The sequence below is a fragment of the Homo sapiens genome, chromosome 4, assembly GCF_000001405.40.
Source record: "Homo sapiens chromosome 4, GRCh38.p14 Primary Assembly".
Taxonomy (NCBI): domain Eukaryota; kingdom Metazoa; phylum Chordata; class Mammalia; order Primates; family Hominidae; genus Homo; species Homo sapiens.
In genome coordinates, this window is record NC_000004.12 from 122915860 (window position 1) to 122941719 (window position 25860).

Here is a 25860-nt window from a genome sequence, read left to right on the forward strand (position 1 = left end):
TACTTGCTACAGGGAAGTAAGACAGGGACAGAGAAGACATCATTAGGCATTCTTGAACAACTCCTTGAAAAGCCTTGAAAAGCAAACTACCTTAAAAACTCTTGTAAATTATATAAAGGCAAATAAAATTATTAATTAAATAACTAATATGCTTCATTGCTTTCATTTATTAAGGTCATAAGGATCCCTTACTATTATAGTTTTTCTAGAAATCTAAGAATTTTGGTCCTTAAAGGGTAGTACTGAGACCACCACCAGCAGCAGCAGCAGCAGCAAAAACAGAAACAGCCAGGAAGATCACCTGAATTTTCAGGTCCCACCATAGACCTACTGAATCAGAAACTCTGGGGATAGGGCCCAGCAATCTGTTTTAAGATTCCAGGTGATTTTGATGCAATCTACAATGTGAGAATCTGTGTCTTACTCTGAGGGAAGTCTTCTCTCAACTTTCCTATGTCTCTGAAGCTAATCAGCCACTTCAAAATTCTACTCTACACTTAAATTACACGATTTTAAACAACTGTTTGGCACAATAATGTAAATATTATTAAGAAGTAATTGTTCAAATCATTGAAAAATTGGTTTGCTTTACCTGAAATTCAACATAAAAATGATCATTTACTTTACAAATTTACATAATTAGTGCCAACATGTTTTACTCTGCAATAAATTTATTCCCTGATCCCAATTCAGTGCTACTATTTGAGTAGTGAAGTTTAATTATATGTGTAAAATATATTCAAGCATATCCTTTGGAAAACTAAACACTAAAGTTGTTCTCTGTGCGTCTGTCTACTGATTGAGGCAAACTTCATCTATTTAAAAGCACTATGTAATAGTCCTATTTAAAAGCACTATGTAATAGATACTGTAGTCCCCCTTGTCCAGTTTTGCTTTCTGTGATTTCAGTTATACAAGGTCAACCATAGTCTCGAAGTGTTACATCACTACTCTTGTGCTTCGGGGCATTAATAAGGAAAATAAGGGTTATTTGAATCCAAGTACTGTGATACTGGGACAGCTGATCTGATAACAGGGAAGGCTACTAAGTAACTAATGGATAGGTAGCCTATGGATCATGGATACACTGGATATGGGGAAGATTCACGGCCTGGTGGGACAGAGCAGGATGGTGAGAGATTTCATCACATTACTCAGAACAGCATGCAATTTAAAACTTAAGAGTTTTTTTCTGGAATTTTCCATTTAGGTCATAATGCCTGTCATTCACCTCACTTCACCTCATCGTGCAGGTGAATACAAAAGGGTGAATACAAAACAATATTTTGAGAGAGACCACATTCACATAACTTTTATTACACTATACTTTTATAACTGTTCTAATTTATTGTTAGTTACTGTTAATCTCTTACTGTGCCTAACTTATAAGTTAAACTTTATCATAAATATGTGTGATAGGAAAAAACATGGTATATATACATAGGGTTTGGTACTATCTGCGGTTACAGGTGCCCACTGGGGGTCTTGGAACACATCCTGTGCAGATAGGGTGGAACCACCGTAATCATTTAATCAAATAACTCATTCCACATGAATAAACTATTTGCTTAGCTGTAACAAGCAAGAAATTGGGTGAACGTCTAAAAAGTTAATTCTGCTCATCATGAGTTTGAAACTGACCTGCAACTCCTACTTGATGTGAAGCATATCCTGGTAATCTGCTGGGCCCTTCTCTCAGCCACAGAGTCAACGTTGATGAATCCGATTCTGCGTGGTGAAAGCAGAAGCCCAGGGAAGCAGCAGGGGCAATAAATCGGCTTTGGAGGATGGGAATGTGCAGCCATACAGCTGTTCTACCTTCTGATCGCCATTGCTGTACTGCAGCTAAATGCAGAAGAAAAAAGTCTAAATAATTTCCAAAGAGACGAGTGGAATAAATTAAAACTCACCTCAGGGTTTCGCCTCCTCCAGGAAACCATCTTTAAGCAAAAGAGGTCCCCAAATGTCTTGTTCACATCGCTGGCACTGGAAGTACCATGTTTTATAGTAACCACCTTGTTTATATGATTTTTCCATCAGACTGAATTCCTTCAGAATAAAGTCATTACACTGCTGACCTTTATATCCATACCACCAAAGACAATGCTTGGCACGTAACAGATGTTCTGTAGTTTTAGAGTGGACAAATAAAAGGATTTAAACCGAATCAAATACCATTTGAATGCTGTTCCTTTTAACATCCTTAGGTTTAATCTTAAAGACAATTATGGACTTCTATTTTTTTCTTCCTTTAGGAGTTCTGTTATAATGTTTTTAATGTATAAATTTCAAGGTAGTTAAACTTTGTTTTTAAATAATGTATGCTGGTTGTAGAAATTTTGAAAATAAAAAATATGAAGAAATCAAACTTCACATTTTACTAGCATATAGGAATAAAATTCTAATTTTTCCTTATTATAGATAATATCATGGTGAACATAATTATAGGTTTTCTATCTTTGCCTTCTTTAAATTCTCTTTACTACTTAAGATTGAGCCAGGGGAAAAAGATGCTAATATCTATTTGAAACTTACTAAGTTCCAAGCACTTTATATATATTATCTCATTAAGTGCACAACCATGAAAGGTATTACTACCTTAAGTTTATGGGTGAAGAAATAAATACTTCAGATTTAGAGTTTTTAGAAAAGCTTTTCAGATCACTTTCTTCATCCATCATCTCACTTAATCTTTATAATAACGCTATAAAGCGTGTGTGTGTGTCTGTCTTTGGGGGTTGATTATATATCAAATAGTTAATTAACTTTCCCTTCTCTTTTCCCTAGCTCTGCAGGAAGCTCCTCTCTTTAAGGACAATGTTCTCTACCTCTTTGAAAGTTGCTGTGCCTAGCACAGTGACAGGCACATGGGGCCTTTAATAAAGACTTCCTGATTTGAGTTAGCATGCAGTGGAATTATGGGATCAGGTCCTTCTCACCTTGCTCTCTTTGTCTGATGACATCTTTTAAAAATTGAGGTAAAGTACATAAAGTGAAATGTACAAATCTTAAGTGTACATTTCATGCGATTTGACATATGCATATGCCCGTAACACACTTTAACATTATAGAACATTTCTATCACTCCATACATTTCACATGTGCTCCTTCCCAGGCAATCCTTCCAATCAAATTAAAAGGCTACTTTCTAAAAGCAATGCTATTTGCTTGCTGTTTTATATCTACACTCTGTGTCTTGGAGAATCCACTCTCACTGCTTCAGCTGATACATACATGAGGATGGCTGCCCAGCCCTGACCTCACTGAACACTAAACTTTCTGTTCTCCAGTTGCTCCCAGACATTTCCTGTCCTGAAGGTTACCACTTCAGACTTCACAAAGTGTGTTCAAAACTGAATCTTTTGTTGTTGTTGTTGAGACGGAGTCTTGCTCTGTCACCAGGATGGAGTGCAATGGTGCAATCTCGGCTCACTGCAACCTCTGCTTCCTAGGTTCAAGCGATTCTCCTGTCTCAGCCTCCCAAGTAGCTGGAATTACAGGTGCGTGCCACCATGCCCAGCTAAGTTTTGTATTTTTAGTAAAGACGGGGTTTCATCATATTGGCCAGGATGGTCTTGATCTCTTGACCTCGTGATCTGCCCGCCTCGGCCTCCCAAAGTGCTGGGATTATAGGCGTGACCCACCGCGCCTGGCCAAAACTGAATCTTACACCCCAAACTAGCTTCATTTATAAGCTTATTTATTTCTGGCACCAATGCTTGAAACCTTAGAATCATTTTTAAATTGCTTTCTTCTTTTCCCTAATAAGCTTTATTGCTTTTTCTTCCCTCACCTCCCATTCCCATTGCTAATATCTATCCTTTAAAGTCCAGCTCATATTCCACATCTTTGACCAGTCTTTCCTAACCACTGCTCATGAGCTCACCATTATGAATTTAAAGACTACTATGTCTGTACAATTTATTAGAACTTATTACATATGACCTAATGATATCTCTTCCATTAGCTATTTTTTCCAATTCTATTTAATATTCCATGCATTTGCAATCCTCCAGGGTAACCCTACATTATGCACTGGGGCTCAATTTGTACTAATGAAATGACTGGCTTGCCTAAAGTCACATAGCTGGTGAGTGGCATAGCAGGGACCAGAACCAGTGCTATTTCATTACTGATGCAGATATGTTATGTGTGAAGCTAACAACATATTGCCTGTTTATCCCTCTAACTTCAGTTGTTGGTAACAAAACATCAATAGTTCATGTTCTAAAAGAATATGAATAGTTGACTTCTTATTCCACCAAGAATATGGACTTCTTAGTCCATAAAGACTAAGAATAGCGGACTTCATGTGTAAATAGTCTCTCTTTATAGGCACTACCATTCAGTTAGTTTTGTTCAATTATAACAACAGAACCAGCAGGAGTTCTTCAAGGTAGCATAGTGCAGTAAGAAAGGTGTAGAGCCAGGGCAAGTAAATTTTTCTCTCTGTGCCTCACTACTGTCATCTTTAAAATAGGAATAATAATGCTATCTACCTCAAAGGGTTGTTAGGAGGATTAATTACTATTTATAAAGATCCTAAAACATCTACCATTAAGTGCAACAAAATTTGTTTTATTGAAAAAATATAACAAGTATTTGGTACTTAAGTTTACAAATTAGTTTCATCTTTGATCAACGCATCTATCCAGTAATTAGAGCTGGCGTTATTCACAAAAAGCAAGCTAAGAAGCAAATATTTTTGGTGGCAATTTGCCTAATGCCTGGCTAAGCACATGGCAGAACCTGGTACTTAAACCCAGAATGTGCACCTCCAAATCGCACAGCTTTCTGCTTTGTCATGCTGACTGGGGTAGTGCTTTGATCACCTGTTTGGTCATTGATAAGTATCAGTGGGTACAACACCTGTGTCTACCCACACACTGGAAGATAAAACGATTGATTCTCCTATTAGTGACACTGTTGCAGTATAAGCGGGCTTGTCAGCAATTACTAGCAAGTAGGAGAGAAAATAATGTGAAGAGGTAAGAAGTCTGGGAATGAGGATGAGTAAACATTGAAATAACTAGCTCAATTATATTTACAGATATGCTTCTTGCCATATTGCTCAATAGGATAAAGATTATTTTGAGTTTCCAGTGTGAGAGATTTTTCCATAGTTGAATTTGCATGCTATGCCTTCAATTAGATTATAAAACCCTCAGAGGCCGTTTGAAAAACTGCTGCACCACTAAATCGACTTCTTCCAAAGTGAAGGCTCCTCCATCCAAGCTTTCTTATCATTGGGCTCAAGGTTGAAAGCCAGTAAAAAGTTTTCTTATTGAAGACTGAAACCACCCACCACCGTCCCTGGTTAATCATAAAAGAAGCGTTATTCTAAAAAACTCCAGTTCTCGCTGAGACAGCTGTTGACCCAATTTGTATACAAATGTGACACTCTGAACCTCTCTGGTTTAGTATTTGATAGCCCAACAGGGTGACTATATTCAATAAAGATTCAGGCTGGGTGCAGTGGCTCCTGCCTGTAATCCCAGCACTTTGAGGGGCCAAGGCGGGAGAATCAGTTGAGCCCGGGAGACTGAGACCAGCCTGGGCAACACAGTGAGACACCGTTTCTAGAAAAAATAGAAAAAAGCCAGATGCGCGCCTGTAGTCCTAGCTACCCAGGAGGCTGAGGTGGGAGGATTGCTTGAGCTCAGGGGTTGGAGGCTGCAGTGAACCCTGATCCTACCACTGCACTCTAGCCTGGGAGACAGAATGATACCCTCTCTCAAAAAAAAAAAAAAAAAAAAAAACAAACTGTACATTTAAAAATAACTAAGAGTAACTGGATTATGGTTGAATGCTTGTGGTGATGAGTATCTCATTTACCCTGATGTAATTATTACACATTTATACCTCTATCAAAATAGCTCATATACCCCATAAACATACACACCTACTATGGACCCACAAAAATTAAAAATAAAAAAGAAAAGCCTCTTTGGTCCACTCAGTCCACCACCCGTATTAGAATGTAAGAGTTTTTTTCCTTGGGAAAAGTGTCCGACAGAACCAAGGCTCGGTAAAGGATACTAATAATGTAATAATATAATATTAACAAACATCTACTGAGCTTTAAATACGTGGCAGGCACTGTGCTGTGCACTTTATGTGCATTATCCAAATTAACTCTCAGTAATTCCAGGAGTTCTTATCACCGGGGTCTGTGGAAGAGGAAATGGTGGTTTACGGCAATTTCCGAATGTCGCACAGTAGAAAGTGGACCAGCAACCAGGGTTGCAGATCCCAAAGTCCGGGATCTTCACCATTTCACCCAACCGCCTTAGAGACCTCCCAGCAAAAGGTCTAAGCACGAATGCTCCAGAAAACAGGTCCAGGTCACGCGTGCCTTCTCCCTTTCCCTCTGGGCTCGACAGTGGTGCACAGAGCGACTAGGGAGTGGGGGCCGCGGTTATTTCATTAGAAAAGCTCTGGAGCCCCGGGAGCCCTTCGTCCCAGGCGCACTTGCCCTGCAAGCCCTTCTGGAAGGCGGCAGCGTCCAGGCGGTCCAGCGCATCGAGCCGCGCCAGGCGCACCGAGATGCCCCCGAATCTGTCCAGCTCGCCCTGCAGATCGCACGCTCCAACTGGCGGATTCCGCACGTAACCCTGTGCGCCCGAGGCCCAGCGGTAACCCGCCGAAGGCCCGGGGCCGTAGGTTCGGGCAAGCATCGCGCGCCAGCGGCCCCAGCTCAGTGGCTGCCGCATCTCCACGCCGCTTAATTCGTCCGTTGCCCAAATGACCCCTCCGCGCTCCAGAGCGGAGATCGCGGCCGTACATTTTAGAAGAGTGCCATCAATACCCTCAGAGTTGAGCTGGGGTTACCACTCTGCAGAGCTATGCCAAGGAGACCGCGAAGTGGTCCACCAGCCCTTCTCAGCAATTTGCCCCGCTCCAGTTAAGCGGGGAAAACCTCCTCCCCCACCGCCACTCACTTATTTTGTTTGGTAGTTTAATTCAACAGACGTTGGTTTAGGGATGGGGAAGCCGGGAGGAGATGCAAAAACGTCCTGTTTTTCAGGAATTTACAATCTAAGTGGCAGTTCCGTTCCTGGAACCTATCTTCTTTCACAGATGCCGTTACAGCTGTTTCAAAGACTGCTGGTTTTGAAAACGCTCAGTCCCTCCCACCACGCTGTGCACTGCTGCGCTCCACTCAGGGGATTACGGCGCAGGGGCGGACCCTCGCTGACTTCTGCCCCGGAAGTTTTTCTCTCAGTTGAAGCGCGCACATTGAGTCGGCTTTTCTACTGCTTCGGCTAGGGTACCTTGTGACCATGTCTTCCAAGAAGAATAGAAAGCGGTTGAACCAAAGCGCGGAAAATGGTTCGTCCTTGCCCTCTGCTGCTTCCTCTTGTGCGGAGGCACGGGCTCCTTCTGCTGGATCAGACTTCGCGGCAACCTCCGGGACTCTGACGGTGACCAACTTATTAGAAAAGGGTAAAGAATTCCGGGTGGGAGACTAGAGGCCGAGGGGGCGCAACCTGAGGGGCGGGAGACTCAGTGATACTGACTTGGGGTGCAGAGACTTTTGAAAGTTGGGCGTGGCATGGGTCTGAGAGCGGCACAGAAGCGTGTAAGACTTCTGTATGTAAGAAGCATGCAAACGTAGCCGCGCCTGCACTGGAGAAGTTAGGCTGAAATGGTTTATCCGTGTCCAAGGTTTCTCTTTTGTAAATTATTTTGAATTTTTAAGTTGCACTTGAAACGCTTTGTCTCATTTAACATTAACGACACATTTAATTGCAAAATTGTTCATAACTAGCGAACATGGGATACTTATCCTAAAAAACTAAATAACCAATTCAGTAAAAATGTGGATCACTCTGCCTTTAGGAGTGATGATAGCATTTTCTTCCAGTACTACGCAGGTTATGATATTTAATAACTGCTAGTAACTGCACACTAGTGTTAGCAGTATATATAGCTCATCTAATTTCTACAGAAGCCGTGACCGATGGGTATAGTAATGACAGTTTTATAGAGGGAGGAAAGTTAACGTGATTCCATTCAGGCTACACAGGTGCTAAGTGGCAGAGCCGATATTTGAGTCCAGATGTGTTTGACTTAAAAGCCATTCCTAGATGACAGCTCCTTTGATTTGGGAGAACGTATTTATACTGAAAAGTCTTATAAATTGAATTAAAAATTGAAAATTTATATTTGATGTGTAATAGCTTTGAAAAATGGACCAGACTAGTGGCAAAAACTTTTATGTCTAATCAGACCTTAAAGACAATTTAGAGTTCACATGGTATTTTCACTCTGCCTTAGGTATCAGAGGACAACTTGTTCTGTCCTGAAGGTTCAACTTGTTTTTGAACTAGATCCTTCCCATTGACATGTAAACATGCTCATTTCTCTTCCATCTTAAATCAGAACAAAAGCTCCACATTTTCTTCCTGCAACCGTCTCTCTATCCATTGCCAAGCTTCTTAAATGGAGTGGTCTCTGCCGCCTCACCACTTACATACTCTCCCTAGCCTATTCCTCTTTGACTTCCACCCCATCATTCCATGGAAACTGTTCCTGGTGTGGTCTCCGAGCATCTCCGTGTTGATAAACCTTACGTGACCACAGCAACTTTTGGTATTGTTGACCATTCCCTCCTTCTCGAAACACTTAACTTCTTATGTGTTGTCAAACTTGCCTGGTTTTCTTCATCTTTGTTGATGTTTCATCATTTTTCTTTGCAGGCTCGTCCTCTTCCCTTGACCATTAAATGTTGAAGTTCGTCAATTCTTAGTCCAAAACCTTTTTTTTCCTCTCAATAAATCCTGTCTCCTTGGCAAGTTCATCCAGTGCCCAGAGTTTCCCATCTATAGTCTCTTCAGTGTCAGATTTATATTTGTAAATCTTTTGTTTTTGCGCCTTGATGTGGTTGCCTTTTAGCCAAATGCTTCTCAAGCTCTCTGTGGTGAAGACTTTAAAATTTATAATAGGTCACAGATCAGCACTTTTCTAAAATACAGTAAAAATGATTTTCTAGAAAAATAAGGAAAAATTTTTATTAAACAGATGTGAAATTACTCTGTAAATTTCAATAAAAGCTTCTATATACTTATTCTCCTGTTTTGTACTTGTCATGAAGCAGTAACAAATCGTTGTGGGTCATATTTTGAATAGCACTGTACAATAACTCTTCTCATGAGTGTCCCAAAGATACTTCAGGACTAACTTCATGAGCCCGTTATTTCCTCCAACAAAATAAACTTCAACTCTGTTCAGTTTTTCCCGCTGCAAAATTCAGAAACCTAAGAGTCATCCATGACTCTCCCCCCCATATCTCACATACCTAGTCCACCACTAAATCATGTTTATTACCTAAATATTTTACATATTCCTCTTCTGCATGCCATTCCCACTGTTTCTACCTTAATTTCAGACACCATCATCTCTCACCTGGACTGCTACAACAGCCTTTTGACTGATTTTCCAGCTTCCAATTTTGCCCCTTATTCCTTTTCCATTCTGCAGCCAGAATGATCTTGTAAGATGAAGATCTTGTCATGACATTGCTTTTCATCCCTTTCTGGGCTCCCACTGCTGTCAGAGTAATGACCAGCATCTTGATGCAGCCTATTGCACTATTGTCCTGGGTGGTCTTGACCTTCTTTACATGGCTTCCCTATGTCTCCACCACTCTGCCTATACTCTCCTGAGGATGCGCCATACCCCCTTCTGCCCAGGAACTTTGTACATGCTGTCCTCTTTGCTGAGAATTATCTTTTTCTTCTCCTCATTTAGTTAGTTCCTACTCTTCTTTCAGACCTGATCTTAACATCACTTCCTTTGAGAAACATTCTCTTATTTGAAATTAGGTCAGATCCCACATGGCTCTCCTGGCACTCTAAGTCATTTTTTCATTGTATTAATCTTAGTTTATTATTTTACAGCTATCCACTGATTGTTTAATAACTCACTCATCCTACAAGGCTATAAACTCTGTGAGACCAAGGACTTGTGAACAAAAGTGCCTAGCATAGTATCTTTCATATAGTAGGCACATAGTACATATTTGCTGAATGAATAAATGAAGGGTGGATGGTTGTTTGAAATTATCTTTACTATCTTGTTAGTTAATGTGATACTTAAGGTGCTCAATAAATGTGAAAGTAGTTAATGGGGAAATTAGATGTTGACATATTTTTAAAGTATTGGAGGAGTGAGGTGAGAAGGGAACTGTGTGGACAACTTGAGTAGACCTATATAGTGTAAGCAGAGAACACGTTGGTGATGTTTTGGAAAATGAGACCAGTGGCTGGGAATTTGAACATGATTACCATTGAAAGACAAGGTGGAGAATAAATCCTGGGACATGGAGAATGTGCTGGATAGGGTGGAAGGAGAAGAAGAAAACTAAAGTCTTGGGAAGGACTGAGAACACTTGTGTGGTAATTGTCAAGAGGGAAAGATAGTTCATTGAGGTTTAGGAAGAAAGAGGCAGGAACTGAATATTATGAGATCATCTAACAGCAGTATGCTTTACTGTTAATGACCAGCAAACAATGTAAGAGAACTAATGCTCATTGGAAGGTTGAATTTCTGTCCAGCTTCTTGTATTATGCAGTATGTGTTCATTTCGTTTTATACTCAGTGCTGTTCATCTTAGCTCTGTGAGATGCTTTGTTTTTCTAGATTTGCACCTCATATAAGAAGGAAAAGAAATGTGTTGGGGAGTTGTTTTGTAGTGACAGAATAATGTAAATCATATGGGTACCTTATGGTTTTCCTTTCCTTGATTTAATTTCTTTTTTATTACAGAATATCTGTTTTCTGATTATTAAGGAAAACTTAGGTAGAGCTCTGTGATTATGGTATATATGTTTACAATAAATTTTATAATGAAGTTGTGACATTTTTAAATTCTCTAAGTGTTTCATAGATTTTGTGCTGAAAAGAAAACCATTGTATACTTATTTACTACATTTATTCATTTTATGGCTATTTATTGTGCAACTGCTATATTTAATGCACTGTAAGCATTGGAGATACAGAGAGAAATAGGACCCAATTCCTGCTTCAAAGCAGTATACAATTAAGGAGAAAGACTAAAACAAATGAATATTATGGTAAATGCTATTAACTGGCAGCACAGAGTGCTGGAGGAATTAGAGGAGGGACACCTAACTAAATATGGAGCTTGGTGGGGGTGGGGTGGATAGAAAGGAGTGGAGATGACAGCACATCATTTTCAGAGGTGTTGTTAACTGGCCTGAATTCTGGACCCCCTTTTTCAGCCAAAAGTTGAAATCACTAGTGGTGTGTGTTCGTATAAGGAAGACGACTTCTGTTACTCTCTTTACGTATTCTTGGTAATACAAAAGAAAAAGATCTGGTGACCATAATGTGGGGCAGAAGTAGAAACATAACTTAATCCTCTAGAGCCAGATAGATGTGCCAGTTCCCAGTTCAATCCTTTGAATACTAGTAGCTGACTCAACTTTGAACTTAAAGCTCAGAGACTCTCTTTTGCAATTATGTTTACTTCTTAATGAAATTAGAGACTCAGAAAAAAAGAAACCAATACTCACCCCATAAAACATCTTCTTTTTAGTTAATACTTAATATGTTGCCAGTAGACCCTCAAAAGCATTTGATTTTAAATCTGTTTTGTTATAACAAAAGTTGGAACACTAGTTTCTCCAGGGTATGGTAAGTACATTCATGTGGTTATATGGTTAGAGTATTTTTATTTACTGCAAAAGAAAGCATGCCTTAACTTCTGTTACAAAGTAGTACAAAAATAATTTTCTTTTCCTTCATAGTAGATGACAAAATTCCTAAAACATTCCAGAATTCCCTTATTCATCTTGGACTCAACACTATGAAGTCTGCAAATATATGTATAGGTCGACCAGTGTTGCTTACTAGTTTGAACGGAAAGCAAGAGGTAAGAGTCTTTTTCATTTCCTTAGTTTAGAAATACAAACTGAACATTGCAAATCCAAGAATCTAAACTCTGAAATGCTTTTGAGTGCCATGGTAGTCAAAGGAAATGCTCATTGGAACATTTTGGATTTCAGATTTGGGATGCTTAGCCAGTAAACATAAGGCAAATATTCCAAAATGGAAAATTCAAAACGCTCCTGGTCCCAAACATTTTGGATAAGGGATACTCAACCTGTGTTTGAGATGTTTCTGATTTTAATTTTCAACACAAGCAGGAATAAATGAAAAACTGTATTTTAAAAGACATTAACATGTATATTAACTCTGTTCCTTTGCTGTCTATGACTCTGCTGGGCATAGTAGCCCCTAAAATGTTATGTAGAGAGAAGTGTTGCCTCCGGCGATAGTGACAGTATTTCTCCCTGTCAGTTAGTTATATTTCTTTATAAAAATATTATTTTGGGGGTAAGAAGGTCACCTGTTCTGTATATAAATATTTTACTATTCTCCCTTGTTTCAGCTGTTTCTCCTTGCTGTCATTTTTCATACCTGAGATTCTAAGCCTGGAACCTTTCCTGGATCATTTTTGGCAGCTTGGCTTTCTTTTCTGCTACCAGCCCCTTATCTTTCATGGCTTCCTTTGATGCTTCTCTGATTTGCTGGGGATCCTTTGGAAATACTTTGAAATTTTTTGTCTGCTGATGGCACCCCTCCTATTCTTTTCATTTTTCTGGCTTATGCTTTAAAGGTCCTTTACTGTGTCTTTTAGAAGAGAGGACTATAAATGTGTGAGCTTAAGCTAGAAATTTTCGCTCCTCCCTCTTAACATTTAAATCTGATAAGACCCAGGTTCTGACAAAGCTCTTGTTCTGTGTCCCTCACTATTTCCTGGATGTAGTTTAATTTCCAGGCTGGATTACTTTACAAGTTATTTTGCCTTAATATTTTTGTCATTTTCTCATTATCACCTGTTAATGCCTTTATCTTTTTTCATATATTTTTCATATCTTCTACCGTCTTCACTGTGGGATCATTCTTGATCTTTAGAAAAAGATGTAATATTTATTAAAAAGTTTATTTTTCATGAGCCCATGTAGTATTTAAATTTTTTAAAAAATGCAATTTATCTTATTGCAATTGGTATCAGATTGTAACTCTTTTTGGGTAAAGACTGTATTTTGCATATCTTAAGTGCTTGACTGTGCTTAGCATTCTACCTTATAAATTGATGGTATTCTATGAATATTTATTTTCTAACATTTTTATTTCCTCTGTCTGGCAGGTGTATACAGCCTGGCCTATGGCAGGATTTCCTGGAGGCAAGGTCGGCCTGAGTGAAATGGCACAGAAAAATGTGGGTGTGAGGCCTGGTGATGCCATCCAGGTCCAGCCTCTTGTGGGTGCTGTGCTACAGGCTGAGGAAATGGATGTGGCACTGAGGTTTGGCTCTTTTCTTTGGTGACTATCTGGATCAAAGCTGCCCAGTAGAAATATAAGAGTCACAAATGTAAACCACATATGTAATTTTGCATTTTCTTGTAACATTTTAAAAAGTAGAGAGAAACAGGTACAATGAATTACAATAGTATGTTTTATTTAACCAGTATATATAAAAATGTATTTTAACATGTAATTATAAAAAATTACCAATAAGGGCTGGGCGCGGTGGCTTATGCCTGTAATCTCAGCACTTTGGGAGGCCGAGGTGAGTGGATTACTTGAGCTCAGGAGTTCAAGACCAACCTGAGCAACATGGCAAAACCCTGTCTCTACAAAAAATACAAAAAAGAAAATTTCTGGGCATGGTGGTGTGTACCTGTAGTCCCAACTATTTGGGAGGCTGAGACAGGAGGATTGCTTGAGCCTGGGAGGTGGAGATTGCAGTGAGCTGGGATCGCGCCACTGCACTCCAGCCTGGGTGACAGAGTGAGACTGTGTCTCAAAGAAAAAAAAAGTTACCAATAAGATATTTTGCATCCTTTTTTTCAAGCTAAGTCTTCAAAATCAATGTGTATGTTACACTTGTAGCACATCACAGTTTGGACTAGCCCCATTTTAAACATTTGATAGCTACATGTGCTGAGTGGCTAGTGGCCACTTGTGTTATATTAGACAACCCAAGCTAAATGAGTGCTATATAATTTATAGACTAAGGACTTTGATTTTCCATGATTAGAGTGTGCCCTGACATTTTAGGTGAGAGTAATTTTCATTGATGCATATTTAGCAGTGTTTTTCACCTTGACTTGCAGTGTAATCAGGGCTTCTTATTTTACAGTTGTAAAGAAAAGAGTAGATTACTGTGAGTCAAACAGAAACAAGTTTTAATTAAGACTATGCAAGCAAAGAACCTGATTGTATATTTTAACTTGTTGATTATTCGATTTAGTAAAACAAACCGTCATTACTATCAGATTTTAAAATAATCCCTCACCACAGGGTAATTGTTTGAATCTACCTATCAAGGTAGTTAAGGTATATCATCCATCCTCCTGGATATTCTATTATCTAATAGGATATCGACTTGGTTTGCATATACAAGTCTTCTCAAAAATCATTTACAAAAAGCATCTTTTTATACTTTAATGTCACCTTAGTAATAGTTTGGGGGATGTGTTTACATTATATGTGAGAATTACAAACCATTTTCTAGTCATCAGCTTGATTTTAATATGTTCTCTTTTGCTACTATTGTAGATTTTAGACTTGAGTTTTGGCATATTTTTTCCTTTATAACAGGAGAATGTTTTCAGAGCTTATAGTAACAGTTTAATGAACAATAAAAAGCAGAAGGGACAGGAGACAATATGTTGAGTACCGGCTGTATACAGAAGCTTTGTATATATTGCATGTATGTATACACACACACACAGTTACCCTTTTCTTTTTAAACAGATGAAATAGTCTGAGGAGAACTTGCCTAATATTTTATGAGGTAGTTAATAGTACTGTTGAGATTAAACTGGATTATTCCTCAGACTATGTCTTAAAATGGTGCTACAGGTAGCAGTAATTCGTTGACTGGAATTAGCATTTATGATGACCTACAAACTAGTCAGACCTCTTGAGCGCACAGCAGTCTTAGGTGAGTAATGATTGCTTATTAGAGAGGACTGGATATGTTTTAAATGAAAGCTCAGGTTTTAAAATTTTGTTTTAAAAAATCTTATGTTTTAAAAAATCTTATGTTTTAAATGTGGCAGCAGAGTATAGACAAGAAAGTTAACTTCCAGTTGGGAAAATCAGTCATTTTAGTCTGCTTAAATCCTTCAGTTGCAACTGTAAGATTTTATTATTAATAGTAATGTTAGAGCTCCTTCTAGTGGAAATTATTTTATGTGCAACTATTATTTTTTTAAAAGCAAAATTGGTTTGATATTTTTACTGTTTTTACATGTATTTGTAAATACCTTCTATTCAGAGTTTAACAAAAGCAATTTAAGTATAACTTGGTTTAGAGTTCCATAAACAAAAGTAAATGTAAGCATTTAAGGAGATACATGCAATTTTCTCATTAGTTTATACATATATTTGATTCATGAAATTTCCCCCTCATTGTATTTCTCTCTTGTTCTCTCTTTTATATGAATATATAGTTGATTCTCATTATTTGTGGTTAGTTATGTTCTATTAAAGTTGCCTTGAACACCGTTAGCAAATACTGAACCATTTCTCCTAGAGGGAAATACGTATGTGTGTGTATATACATACATGCAACACACACAATATATGTAGCGTATGTATATATATAATATATATACATACACACACATTTTACATAGATTATAACCTTAAAACTCCAAAGTAATTCTTTCTGGTAGATTTTATTTTCTTTATTTTACAAAACAGAAGAGGAGATTTAGAAGTGTTAGAAATGTTAAGGGACTTGCCTGAGGTGCTAGTGCTGGGATTCACACTCCCTCCAACTGACCCCAGGCCTGGAGCTTCTTCACTACACTGCTGTGTCCCCTATCACTTCCATTCTCTGGTCATCTCTGAATGAAAGCTGAAACAAGGCAGAGTGTCACCTCATCCTACATGGTAACATGGGTGTTGGGTCACCCAAATTTTTTGCTGCTCTTCCATGTCACTAATGACCACAAATGCTCTGTGAGTATTGATTTTGGGGTACACATAAGTTTTTGGGAGTTGGTAAATTTGCAAATACAGCATCCACAGGTATTGAGGATTGACTATATTGTATTATTACTGATAAAAGTGATTGGAAGCCAGACGCAGTGGCTCACGCCTGTAATCCCAGCACTTTGGGAGGCTGAGGTGGGTGGATCGCCTGAACTTAGGAGTTCGAGACCAGCCTGGGAAACATGGTGAAACACCGCCTCTACAAAAAATATATATGTATAAAAATTAGCTGAGCGTGGTGGTGAGCGCCTGTGTTCCCAGCTACTCCAGAGGCTGAGGTGGGAGGATCACTTGAGCCTGTGAGGTGGAGGTTGCAGTGAGCTGAGATCACACCACCGCACTCCAGCCTGGGTGACAGAGCGAGACCTCATCTCAAAAAAAAAAAAAAGTGATTGGAGAACAAGGTATTTTTTGACCAGATGGGCACACAGGCACATGCCACCACGTCTGGCTAGTTTTCTTTTGTATTTTTTGTAGAGATGAATTTTTGCCATGTTGCCCAGGCTGGTCTTGAACTCCTGAGCTCAAGCGGTCCACCCACCTCAGCCTCCCAAAGTGCTGGGATTACAGGCATGAGCCACCATGCTCAGTTCCAATCACTTACACTTCCCCTTGAGCTAAACTGTCCCCCCTCCACTGGTCACTGACAGAACTAGACAGCTGTTTGTCTCCCCTCCTGATATGGGCTGCTTATGCACAAGAGGAGGAGGAAAAATGCTCATGTTCTGAGAACTCCTCAAGAGCAGATTTCTTTATAAATGTATGATATTTAGGTGTGTTCACTTCCTGCACTTAAGCAACTCTCTGGGGTGACACAGTTATCATTAGGAAGGAGGGGATCTCATTTTTCCTTGGTCATGCCCTTTCTCCAGAAAAAAACCTTCATTGTAACCATTACTCCTCTTTTTCCTACTTCTGCCTTTTCAAGTAACATACTGTATAGGACTTAATTTTCTTGAAGAAATAATTTGTAAGTTATACTGAGAGAGTGAAGTAAGTTATTAATTAGAGTCTTTCTCCAAGCTAGGCAACTTTATAAAGGGAATTATTAGTTTAGGTCAGCATTTTAAAAATGTTTTTGCCTATGACAATAAAAAATGGATTTTTCATCAGATTCTTTGTATATACACATCCATAGATAATAGTGCTCATATGTGTGCATGTGTGTATGTATGTGTTAGAAGTTAATGTTTTACAAAGCAGTATTTACCCTTTCTATATTCAGTGTACCCTGCATTTCTTATTCTATTAACAAAGTGCTGAATGAGGCTGACTGAAATGATTTCATTACCCTTGTGTTTTGAAGAACATTGATTTAGGCCACTAAGGCACCAGATTCCAAATGATATTTTCATGGCTATATGTTTCTGAAAAATGCCCATCATTTCAAAATTGTATACATTATTTATTTTAAGGTTGCAGGTGGATTATTCTTTTGATTAAGTCTATATTATAACCATATACATGTAATTTTACATCACAGTTTAGTTTCTGGTGTACCTAATGCTGATTTCTGTTCCCTTCTTATCCTTTTACAGTGACAAAGATATGGAAATTAATGAAGAAGAACTGACTGGTTGTATCCTGAGAAAACTAGGTGAGACAAATATTTTAAATTGTTTTCTTAAGTTTTAAGCTGCAAGGCATCAGCAAATAAAGTGTCTTTGAGGGCTTATATATGCATAGTAGTTTTCTTCAAAATAGCTTTGAGAATATTCCCCTCAATGAATGAATATACTTTTAAGATAGGGATGTGCTACTTTTCCTGGTTAATTGGCAGTTGAGCAGTGGAAAGAATATATGACTTGTCTGTGGAAAGAGTCAGTGGTAGAATTGAGACTTTTAACCTTTGCATTCTTGCCCTTTCCAGTGACAGATGCTATCTTGGAGTGTTGGTTTGGGTGTGCCATTTTCATTTAGTTTATTATTGAATATGGAATGCCTGGCTATTTGTTGATGTGATTGATAGAATCTGAGATCTACTGAGTGTGGAGGATTTCAGAGAATCATTTCCTTCTGTCTCCAGATGGTGTTATAGGGGAATATTAGGTCCTCAATTTTTTATGACAATTATTTTATTAATACTCTGTCTTTGATTTAGTCTTTTCAGATAATAGATGAAATATATTGCTATTTAAACATTAAACTGGTAAAAAAAATTATGCTAACATGTATATTTAATATACTGTTTTCTAGATGGCAAGATTGTTTTACCAGGCAACTTTCTGTATTGTACATTCTATGGACGACCGTACAAGCTGCAAGTATTGCGAGTGAAAGGGGCAGATGGCATGATATTGGGAGGGCCTCAGAGTGACTCTGACACTGATGCCCAAAGAATGGCCTTTGAACAGTCCAGCATGGAAACCAGTAGCCTGGAGTTATCCTTACAGCTAAGCCAGTTAGATCTGGAGGATACCCAGATCCCAACATCAAGAAGTACTCCTTATAAACCAATTGATGACAGAATTACAAATAAAGCCAGTGATGTTTTGCTGGATGTTACACAGAGCCCTGGAGATGGCAGTGGACTTATGCTAGAGGAAGTCACAGGTCTTAAATGTAATTTTGAATCTGCCAGAGAAGGAAATGAGCAACTTACTGAAGAAGAGAGACTGCTAAAGTTCAGCATAGGAGCAAAGTGCAATACTGATACTTTTTATTTTATTTCTTCAACAACAAGAGTCAATTTTACAGAGATTGATAAAAATTCAAAAGAGCAAGACAACCAATTCAAAGTAACTTATGACATGATAGGAGGATTAAGTAGCCAGCTGAAAGCAATTAGAGAAATAATTGAATTGCCCCTCAAACAGCCTGAGCTTTTCAAGAGTTATGGTATGATGTCTTCAGTTTATTGCACCCAAAAATGTTAAATTCAAATTAAAAGACAGTTGACACTTATGTAATGATTGCTCATCCTCTTTTCCTGTTTTTATTTTCTGAGTAGTAGGTATGGTAGAAGATTTCAGTTGCTTTGGGAGATGCCAGTTAAATGGGCCATTTGCTATGCTTTGGTATTTTTAGGTTGTAATGTGAATTAGTGACAGCCTTGTCTCTTCTAATAGCATATTTCCACAATTACCTGTATTGGATCTAGAATAAGTATCTTGTCATGCTGGGTCATCTGTAATGACTGAAGGGATAAACCATTCAAATACATTAGGTAAAACTTCTTAGGAAATGTAACTGTGTACCCATCTCTTTGCACTGAAGCAGGTAATTACGGGAATGGCTTGACTCAGGAAACTCAGGGCTTCTGCTGCATTGTTATTGCCAAGATCCTTTGCATATATTTGCTGTGTCTGATCTCTCTGCTTTTTTCCTTTCTCATAAATCTTATATATACATACATGTATGTATATATATGTATGTGTAAAATGAACCCTTAGATTGGCATTTTGCTCATACTTATGTACCTTTTATACTAGCAAACGTATGTACTCTTCAAGATGGTTAGTTGGAAAAAAACTGGGATTGGTGGCTTGTCTACCTGTGTTGTCTGTGCTTGGTTTTTCGATCATTGATCTGTGTTGTGTGGGATGGGGCGTTGCAACAATGTGGGTGTCCAGTTTTTTTTTTTTTTAACCAACATGCTTCCTCTGTTCTGTGGTCTACAGAGAGAGAAAGTCATTGCTGGGTATCAGTGTTTGGGCTAGTTAGTACATCTTTCTGGAGGGGGAGAAAAAACTCTTGACTCTTTTTGTGACGCAAGGTAAAGTTAAATTTTATAACTCATGTTTGAACTTGTATGACAACATTTATAAGAAACCTAGTAATGGTGAATCTAGTGTTTTCTACTTTTTCTTCCAGGAATTCCTGCCCCTAGAGGAGTGTTACTTTATGGTCCTCCAGGTACTGGAAAAACAATGATCGCCAGGGCTGTTGCTAATGAAGTTGGAGCCTATGTTTCTGTAATTAATGGTCCTGAAATTATAAGCAAGTAAGTACATGATTTAATAGAGTAAACTTACTATTAAATATATTTCTAAAATGTGGTTTTTAAAAATGATTGTGTAGTATTCTGTGTGATATTTTGTACACTGAAATATTTTGCTTCTTAATAAAAATTGTTTGGAAAATTCTTTTTGAAAGTAATTTTAAGTATTATAGAAATATTGAAAATTTAGGTTAGCTTTTATAGACAAAGCTTTAAAAACAATAAGAAATGGTCTTTAAATGTATTTTATTTGTTACAGATTCTATGGTGAGACTGAAGCAAAGTTACGTCAGATATTTGCTGAAGCCACTCTACGGTACTCTTTATTTTTAAATGTTTTGGAATTAATAATCAAGGCTGTATTAGTCAAAGTGAGATACTAGCACCTTATACAAAGCATAAACAGTAGTACAAAAATTATAGTGATAGTGGTAGAAGTAGATTATAGATCTAATGAAATTCTATTTCTATCTAATCTTTAAAAGTTTGATAAATATTATTAAATTACATAAAGTAGAAGAATTAAGACATAGTGTTTGATAAGTCATGTGACCTTGTTTGAGCATAGAAATCCATGACTTTCTTTAGGTGCTTAGGTGTTTCTAATATGCTTAGCTTTTCTAGTAGACTGTATTATTGTATGTAGCTCTTTATACTAGAACTTTGTTATGTTATACTTTGCTTCAAAGGGACAAATCTTTTGCCCATTAAATAATGACTCTGGCTGGGTGTGGTGGCTCATGCCTGTAATACCATCACTTTGGGAGGCCAAGGCAGGAGGATTGCTTGACCCCAGGAGTTTGAGACCAGCCTGGGCAACATAGTGGGACCCTGTCTGTTTAAAAATAAAAATAATTGGCTGGGTGCGGTGGCTCACGCCTGTAATCCCAGCACTTTGGGAGACCGAGGCAGGCAGATCACCTGAGGTCAGGAGTTTGAGACCAGCCTGGCTAACATAGTGAAACCCCGTCTCTACTAAAAATACAAAAATTAGCCAGGTGTGGTGGCAAGTGCTTGTAATCCCAGCTACTCGGGAGGCTGAGGCAAGAGAATCTCTTGAACCCAGGAGGTGGAGGTTGCAGTCAGTTGAGATCGTGCCATTGCACTCCAGCATGGGGGACAAGAGCGAGACTTTGACTCGAAAAAATAAAAATAAAAATAATTAGTTGGGCATGGTAGCACATGCCTGTAGTCCCACCTACTAAGGAAGCTGAGGCAGGAGGATCACTGAGCTGGGAGATCAAGGCTGTAGTGAGCCATGATTTCACTGCTGCACTCTAGCCTGGGCAACACACACCCCGTCTCAAAAACAAACAAACAAGCAAAATCAAAACAGTGGTAGAGACATAGCCATATTATGAGTGACGTTATGTTTGACCAAGTTATAGACCAATATCCTAATACTCATTACAGTGTAACATTGAAATCTAAATTCCCTGAGCTCAAGTGATCCTCCCCCTGTAGCCTCCCAAGTAGCTGGAACTATAGGTGAGCACCACCATGCCCAGCTAATTTTTGTATTTTTTTTTCTAGCAACAGGGTCTTGCTATGTTGGCCAGGCTGGTCTTGAACTCCTGGGCTCAAGCCATTCTCCTGCCTCAGCCTCCCAAAATGCTGGCTGTCTTGGTGTTTAATATCATAACTACTGCTCTTGAATCAGAAAACCCACCATTTTTGAAGTTTATTTTTTTCCCCCAATGATAGTAGATGAAGTAAGCAGTTTGTAGTCCTAGTACTGTACTGAAAATTTGAAAACTAGTGGTACACCTTATTGTTTAGTATGCTTTTGTTGTTGTTGTGTTCATGGCAGTTGAGATTTCCTTCTGTGAGAGAATTCACATCTGTTTATGGGAGAATTGATCATCTTGCAAGTTTTTATTTTAATGGTTTAAAAATAACAGGGCATTTCTAGTTTATGTCCTTTGGTTTCAAACCTGCTCCAAGGGATAGTATCTCTGGCCTCAGCTTCTGAATTGATCCAGTCATAACAACTTAATGGGCATTACTGGGGAGAGTTCTTAAGAGACTCTTATCTTTTAAGCAGCATACTCTACTCAATTACCCAGCCTTTTAATGGAGGGCAGATAGAATAGAATATGAAGTTAGTGAATTAGTATTTTGGGCTAGAATGAATCTAAGGATTTTTAGCTTAACATTATAATATCTTTATAATATTAAGTGAATTCTAAATTTGATATGTTGCATTTCAGTTAAAAAAATTAAAACTAAGTAAAACTTAAAATCAAATATAGATGAGAGATTTCATTTTACTTGTTTGTTTTTAGACACCCATCAATTATTTTTATTGATGAGCTGGATGCACTTTGTCCGAAAAGAGAGGGGGCCCAGAATGAAGTGGAAAAAAGAGTTGTGGCTTCACTCTTAACACTGATGGATGGCATTGGTTCAGTAAGTATAGCACTAGTATTGATTCTGTGTAGGGTTAATTCTTAATACTTATGTGTAGTGGTAAAAACTATTGAATGTGTCAGAGTCTTTGGATATTTTAGGATAAAGGAAAAATATTAGCCATAGCAACTAGGGGAAAGATCTGTAAAATAATTTGCTTTAGTAGATTACTTAGTAACTGCTAGGACAACATCATAACCTGGCAGGTTTTTTCTAGCATATAAAATACTATACCATGATGGATTTATTTTGTGATAAATGCTGTTAGCTTTAAAACTTGAAGCAAAGATCAGTAAGGAAGATTTAGCAGTTAAATTTTAGGGGATTTTATTTTATTTTTATTTATTATTATTGTTTTTGAGATTGAGTCTTGCCCTGTCATCCAGGCTGGAGTGCAGTGGCGCAGTCTCAGCTAACTGCAACCTCCACCTTCCAGGTTCAAGCGATTCTCCTGCCTCAGCCTCCTGAGTAGCTGGGACTACAGGCATGCACCATCACACCTGGCTAATTTTTTTTTAAATCTTCTTAGTAGAGATGGGGTTTCACCATGTTGGCCAGGCTGGTCTCGAACTCCTTACCTTGTCATCTACCCGCCTTGGCCTTCCAAAGTGCTGGGATTATAGGTGTGAGCCGCTACATCTGGCCTTAGGGGTTTTTATTAAGAAATGTCATGAGTAAGTCTTATTACCCATGTACAAATGGACTCTTTCAAGGCTTTGTACTAGGGAAATGAAAGAAAGTGAGAATAATGCGAAATGTTTTGTATAACATTTAAAAAAAAACTTATTCATATTACCAGATTCTCTCATAGGGGATATGTTCTTTCTTTTTTTTTTTTTTTTTTTTTTTTTTGGAGACAGAGTTTCGCTCTTGTTGCCCAGGCTGGAGTGCAATGGCACAATCTCGGCTCACCGCAACCTCTGCCTCCCAGGTTCAAGCAATTCTCCTGCCTCAGCCTCCCGAGTAGCTGGGATTACAGGCATGTACCACCACGCCTGGCTGATTTTGTATTTTTAGTAGAGACGGGGTTTCTCCATGTTCAGGCTGGTCTCGAGCTCCTGACCTCAGGTGATCCGCCCGCCTCGGCCTCCCAAAGTGCTGGGATTACAGGCGTGAGCCACCGCGCCCAGCCGGGATATGTTCTTTTATTAATAAAAACTATATGCTAATTATGGAAGGAACATTCATAGGACTAATAAGAGAATAGGCATGAACAAAAATTTTCTAAGACTCCTGACATCCATTAATTAGAAAAATACACTTTTCATGCTGGATTATGAATAAGTAAAGTTTTTAGAATCATAATATGTTAGAACCACAATAAATTTTAGAAATTATGTAGTATCAAGCCTCTTTTGCACATTAAAAAGCTGGTCATTTAGAATTTTTTTTTTTTTATACTTTAAGTTTTAGGGTACATGTGCACAATGTGCAGGTTAGTTACATATGTATACATGTGCCATGATGGTGTGCTGCACCCATTAACTCGTCGTTTAGCATTAGTTATATCTCCTAATGCTATCCCTCGCCCCTCCCCCAACTCCACAACAGGCCCCAGAGTGTGATGGTCCCCTTCCTGTGTCCATGTGTTCTCATTGTTCAATTCCCATCTATGAGTGAGAACATGCAGTGTTTGGTTTTTTGTCCTTGCGATAGTTTGCTGAGAATGATGATTTCCAGTTTCATCCATGTCCCTGTAAAGGACATGAACTCATCATTTTTTATGGCTGCATAGTATTCCATGGTGTATATGTGCCACATTTTCTTAATCCAGTCTGTCATTGTGGGACATTTGGGTTGGTTCCAAGTCTTTGCTATTGTGAATAGTGCCGCAATAAACATACGTGTGCATGTGTCTTTATAGCAGCATGATTTATAGTCCTTTGAGTATATACCCAGTAATGGGATGGCTGGGTCAAATGGTATTTCTAGTTCTAGATCCCTGAGGAATCGCCACACTGACTTCCACAATGGTTGAACTAGTTTACAGTCCCACCAACAGTGTAAAAGTGTTCCTATTTCTCCACATCCTCTCTAGCACCTGTTGTTTCCTGACTTTTTAATGATTGCCATTCTAACTGGTGTGAGATGGTATCTCATTGTGGTTTTGATTTGCATTTCTCTGATGGCCAGTGATGATGAGCATTTTTTCATGTGTCTTTTGACTGCATAAATGTCTTCTTCTGAGAAGTGTCTGTTCATATCCTTTGCCCACTTTTTGATGGGGTTGTTTGTTTTTTTCTTGTAAATTTGTTTGAGTTCATTGTAGATTCTGGATATTAGCCCTTTGTCAGATGAGTAGGTTGCGAAAATTTTCTCCCATTCTGTAGCTTCCCTGTTCACTCTGATGGTAGTTTCTTTTGCTGTGCAGAAGCTCCTTAGTTTAATTAGATCCCATTTGTCAATTTTGGCTTTTGTTGCCATTGCTTTTGGTGTTTTAGACATGAAGTCCTTACCCATGCCTATGTCCTGAATGGTAATGCCTAGGTTTTCTTCTAGGGTTTTTATGGTTTTAGGTCTAACGTTTAAGTCTTTAATCCATCTTGAATTAATTTTTGTATAAGGTGTAAGGAAGGGATCCAGTTTCAGCTTTCTACATATGGCTAGCCAGTTTTCCCAGCACCATTTATTAAATAGGGAATCCTTTCCCCATTGCTTGTTTTTGTCAGGTTTGTCCAAAGATCAGATAGTTGTAGATATGTGGCATTATTTCTGAGGGCTCTGTTCTGTTCCATTGATCTATATCTCTGTTTTGGTACCAGTACCATGCTGTTTGGTTACTGTGGCCTTGTAGTATAGTTTGAAGTCAGGTAGCATGATGCCTCCAGCTTTGTTCTTTTGGCTTAGGATTGACTTGGTGATGCGGGCTCTTTTTTGGTTCCATATGAACTTTAAAGTAGTTTTTTCCAATTCTGTGAAGAAAGTCATTGGTAGCTTGATGGGGATGGCATTGAATCTATAAATTACCTTGGGCAGTGTGGCCATTTTCACGATATTGATTCTTCCTACCCATGAGCATGGAATGTTCTTCCATTTCTTTGTATCCTCTTTTATTTCCTCGAGCAGTAGTTTGTAGTTCTCCTTGAAGAGGTCCTTCACGTCCCTTGTAAGTTGGATTCCTAGGTATTTTATTCTCTTTGAAGCAATTGTGAATGGGAGTTCACTCATGATTTGGCTCTCTGTTTGTCTGTTATCGGTGTATAAGAATGCTTGTGATTTTTGTACATTGATTTTGTATCCTGGGACTTTGCTGAAGTTGCTTATCAGCTTAAGGAAGTTTTGGGCTGAGACAGTGGGGTTTTCTAGATATACAATCATGTTGTCTGCAAACAGGGACAATTTGACTTCCTCTTTTCCTAACTGAATACCCTTTATTTCCTTCTCCTGCCTGATTGCCCTGGCCAGAACTTCCAACACTATGTTGAATAGGAGTGTTGAGAGAGGGCATCCCTGTCTTGTGCCAGTTTTCA

At 38.5% G+C, this 25860-nt stretch overlaps 2 protein-coding genes across 22 annotated transcripts in view, besides 3 other annotated features; one reads left to right on the forward strand and one right to left on the reverse strand.

The window, feature by feature from the left end:
* NUDT6 (nudix hydrolase 6) overlaps positions 1-7109 on the reverse strand; it is a 30392-nt gene extending 23283 nt beyond the window's left edge. Inside the window, exons 1-2 of one of the 2 annotated variants that reach the window (NM_198041.3) lie at positions 6942-7109; positions 1642-1845 (exon numbers count right to left, since the gene is read on the reverse strand). Coding sequence is in view for 1 of the 2 variants with exons in the window: in NM_007083.5 (NP_009014.2) it covers positions 1642-1845; positions 6476-6713 (442 nt within the window). In the remaining variant the exon portion in view is untranslated. Of the gene's footprint in view, positions 1-1641; positions 1846-6475; positions 6739-6941 lie in introns of those variants that run through there. The other variant, NM_007083.5, reaches the window with a different exon arrangement.
* Positions 6882-7418: an enhancer, noted in NCBI's record as "NANOG-H3K27ac-H3K4me1 hESC enhancer chr4:123843896-123844432 (GRCh37/hg19 assembly coordinates)". NCBI's record gives its function as "activates a minimal SCP1, AML or CMV promoter by ChIP-STARR-seq in naive H9 embryonic stem cells {active_cell/tissue: H9 hESC(naive)}" and the evidence as "EXISTENCE:reporter gene assay evidence [ECO:0000049][PMID:30033119]".
* Positions 6882-7580: a biological region, named in NCBI's record as "NANOG-H3K27ac-H3K4me1 hESC enhancer GRCh37_chr4:123843896-123844432".
* Positions 7211-7580: an enhancer, noted in NCBI's record as "active region_21880". NCBI's record gives its function as "activates an Ori minimal core promoter by ATAC-STARR-seq in GM12878 lymphoblastoid cells {active_cell/tissue: GM12878}" and the evidence as "EXISTENCE:reporter gene assay evidence [ECO:0000049][PMID:35858748]".
* The window catches only part of AFG2A (AAA ATPase AFG2A), a 396356-nt gene continuing 377714 nt past the window's right edge, over positions 7219-25860 (forward strand). For 11 of the 20 annotated variants that reach the window (XR_007096375.1, XR_007096377.1, NM_001438322.1 and 8 more), the window contains exons 1-8: positions 7219-7446; positions 11775-11899; positions 13181-13338; positions 17580-17638; positions 18238-18879; positions 19855-19984; positions 20241-20297; positions 22267-22390. Coding sequence is in view for 17 of the 20 variants with exons in the window: in NM_001438322.1 (NP_001425251.1) it covers positions 7284-7446; positions 11775-11899; positions 13181-13338; positions 17580-17638; positions 18238-18879; positions 19855-19984; positions 20241-20297; positions 22267-22390 (1458 nt within the window). In the remaining 3 variants the exon portion in view is untranslated. Of the gene's footprint in view, positions 7447-11774; positions 11900-13180; positions 13339-13842; positions 14984-17579; positions 17639-18237; positions 18880-19854; positions 19985-20240; positions 20298-22266; positions 22391-25860 lie in introns of those variants that run through there. The other 9 variants (XR_007096376.1, NM_001437913.1, NM_001345856.2 and 6 more) reach the window with 2 other exon arrangements.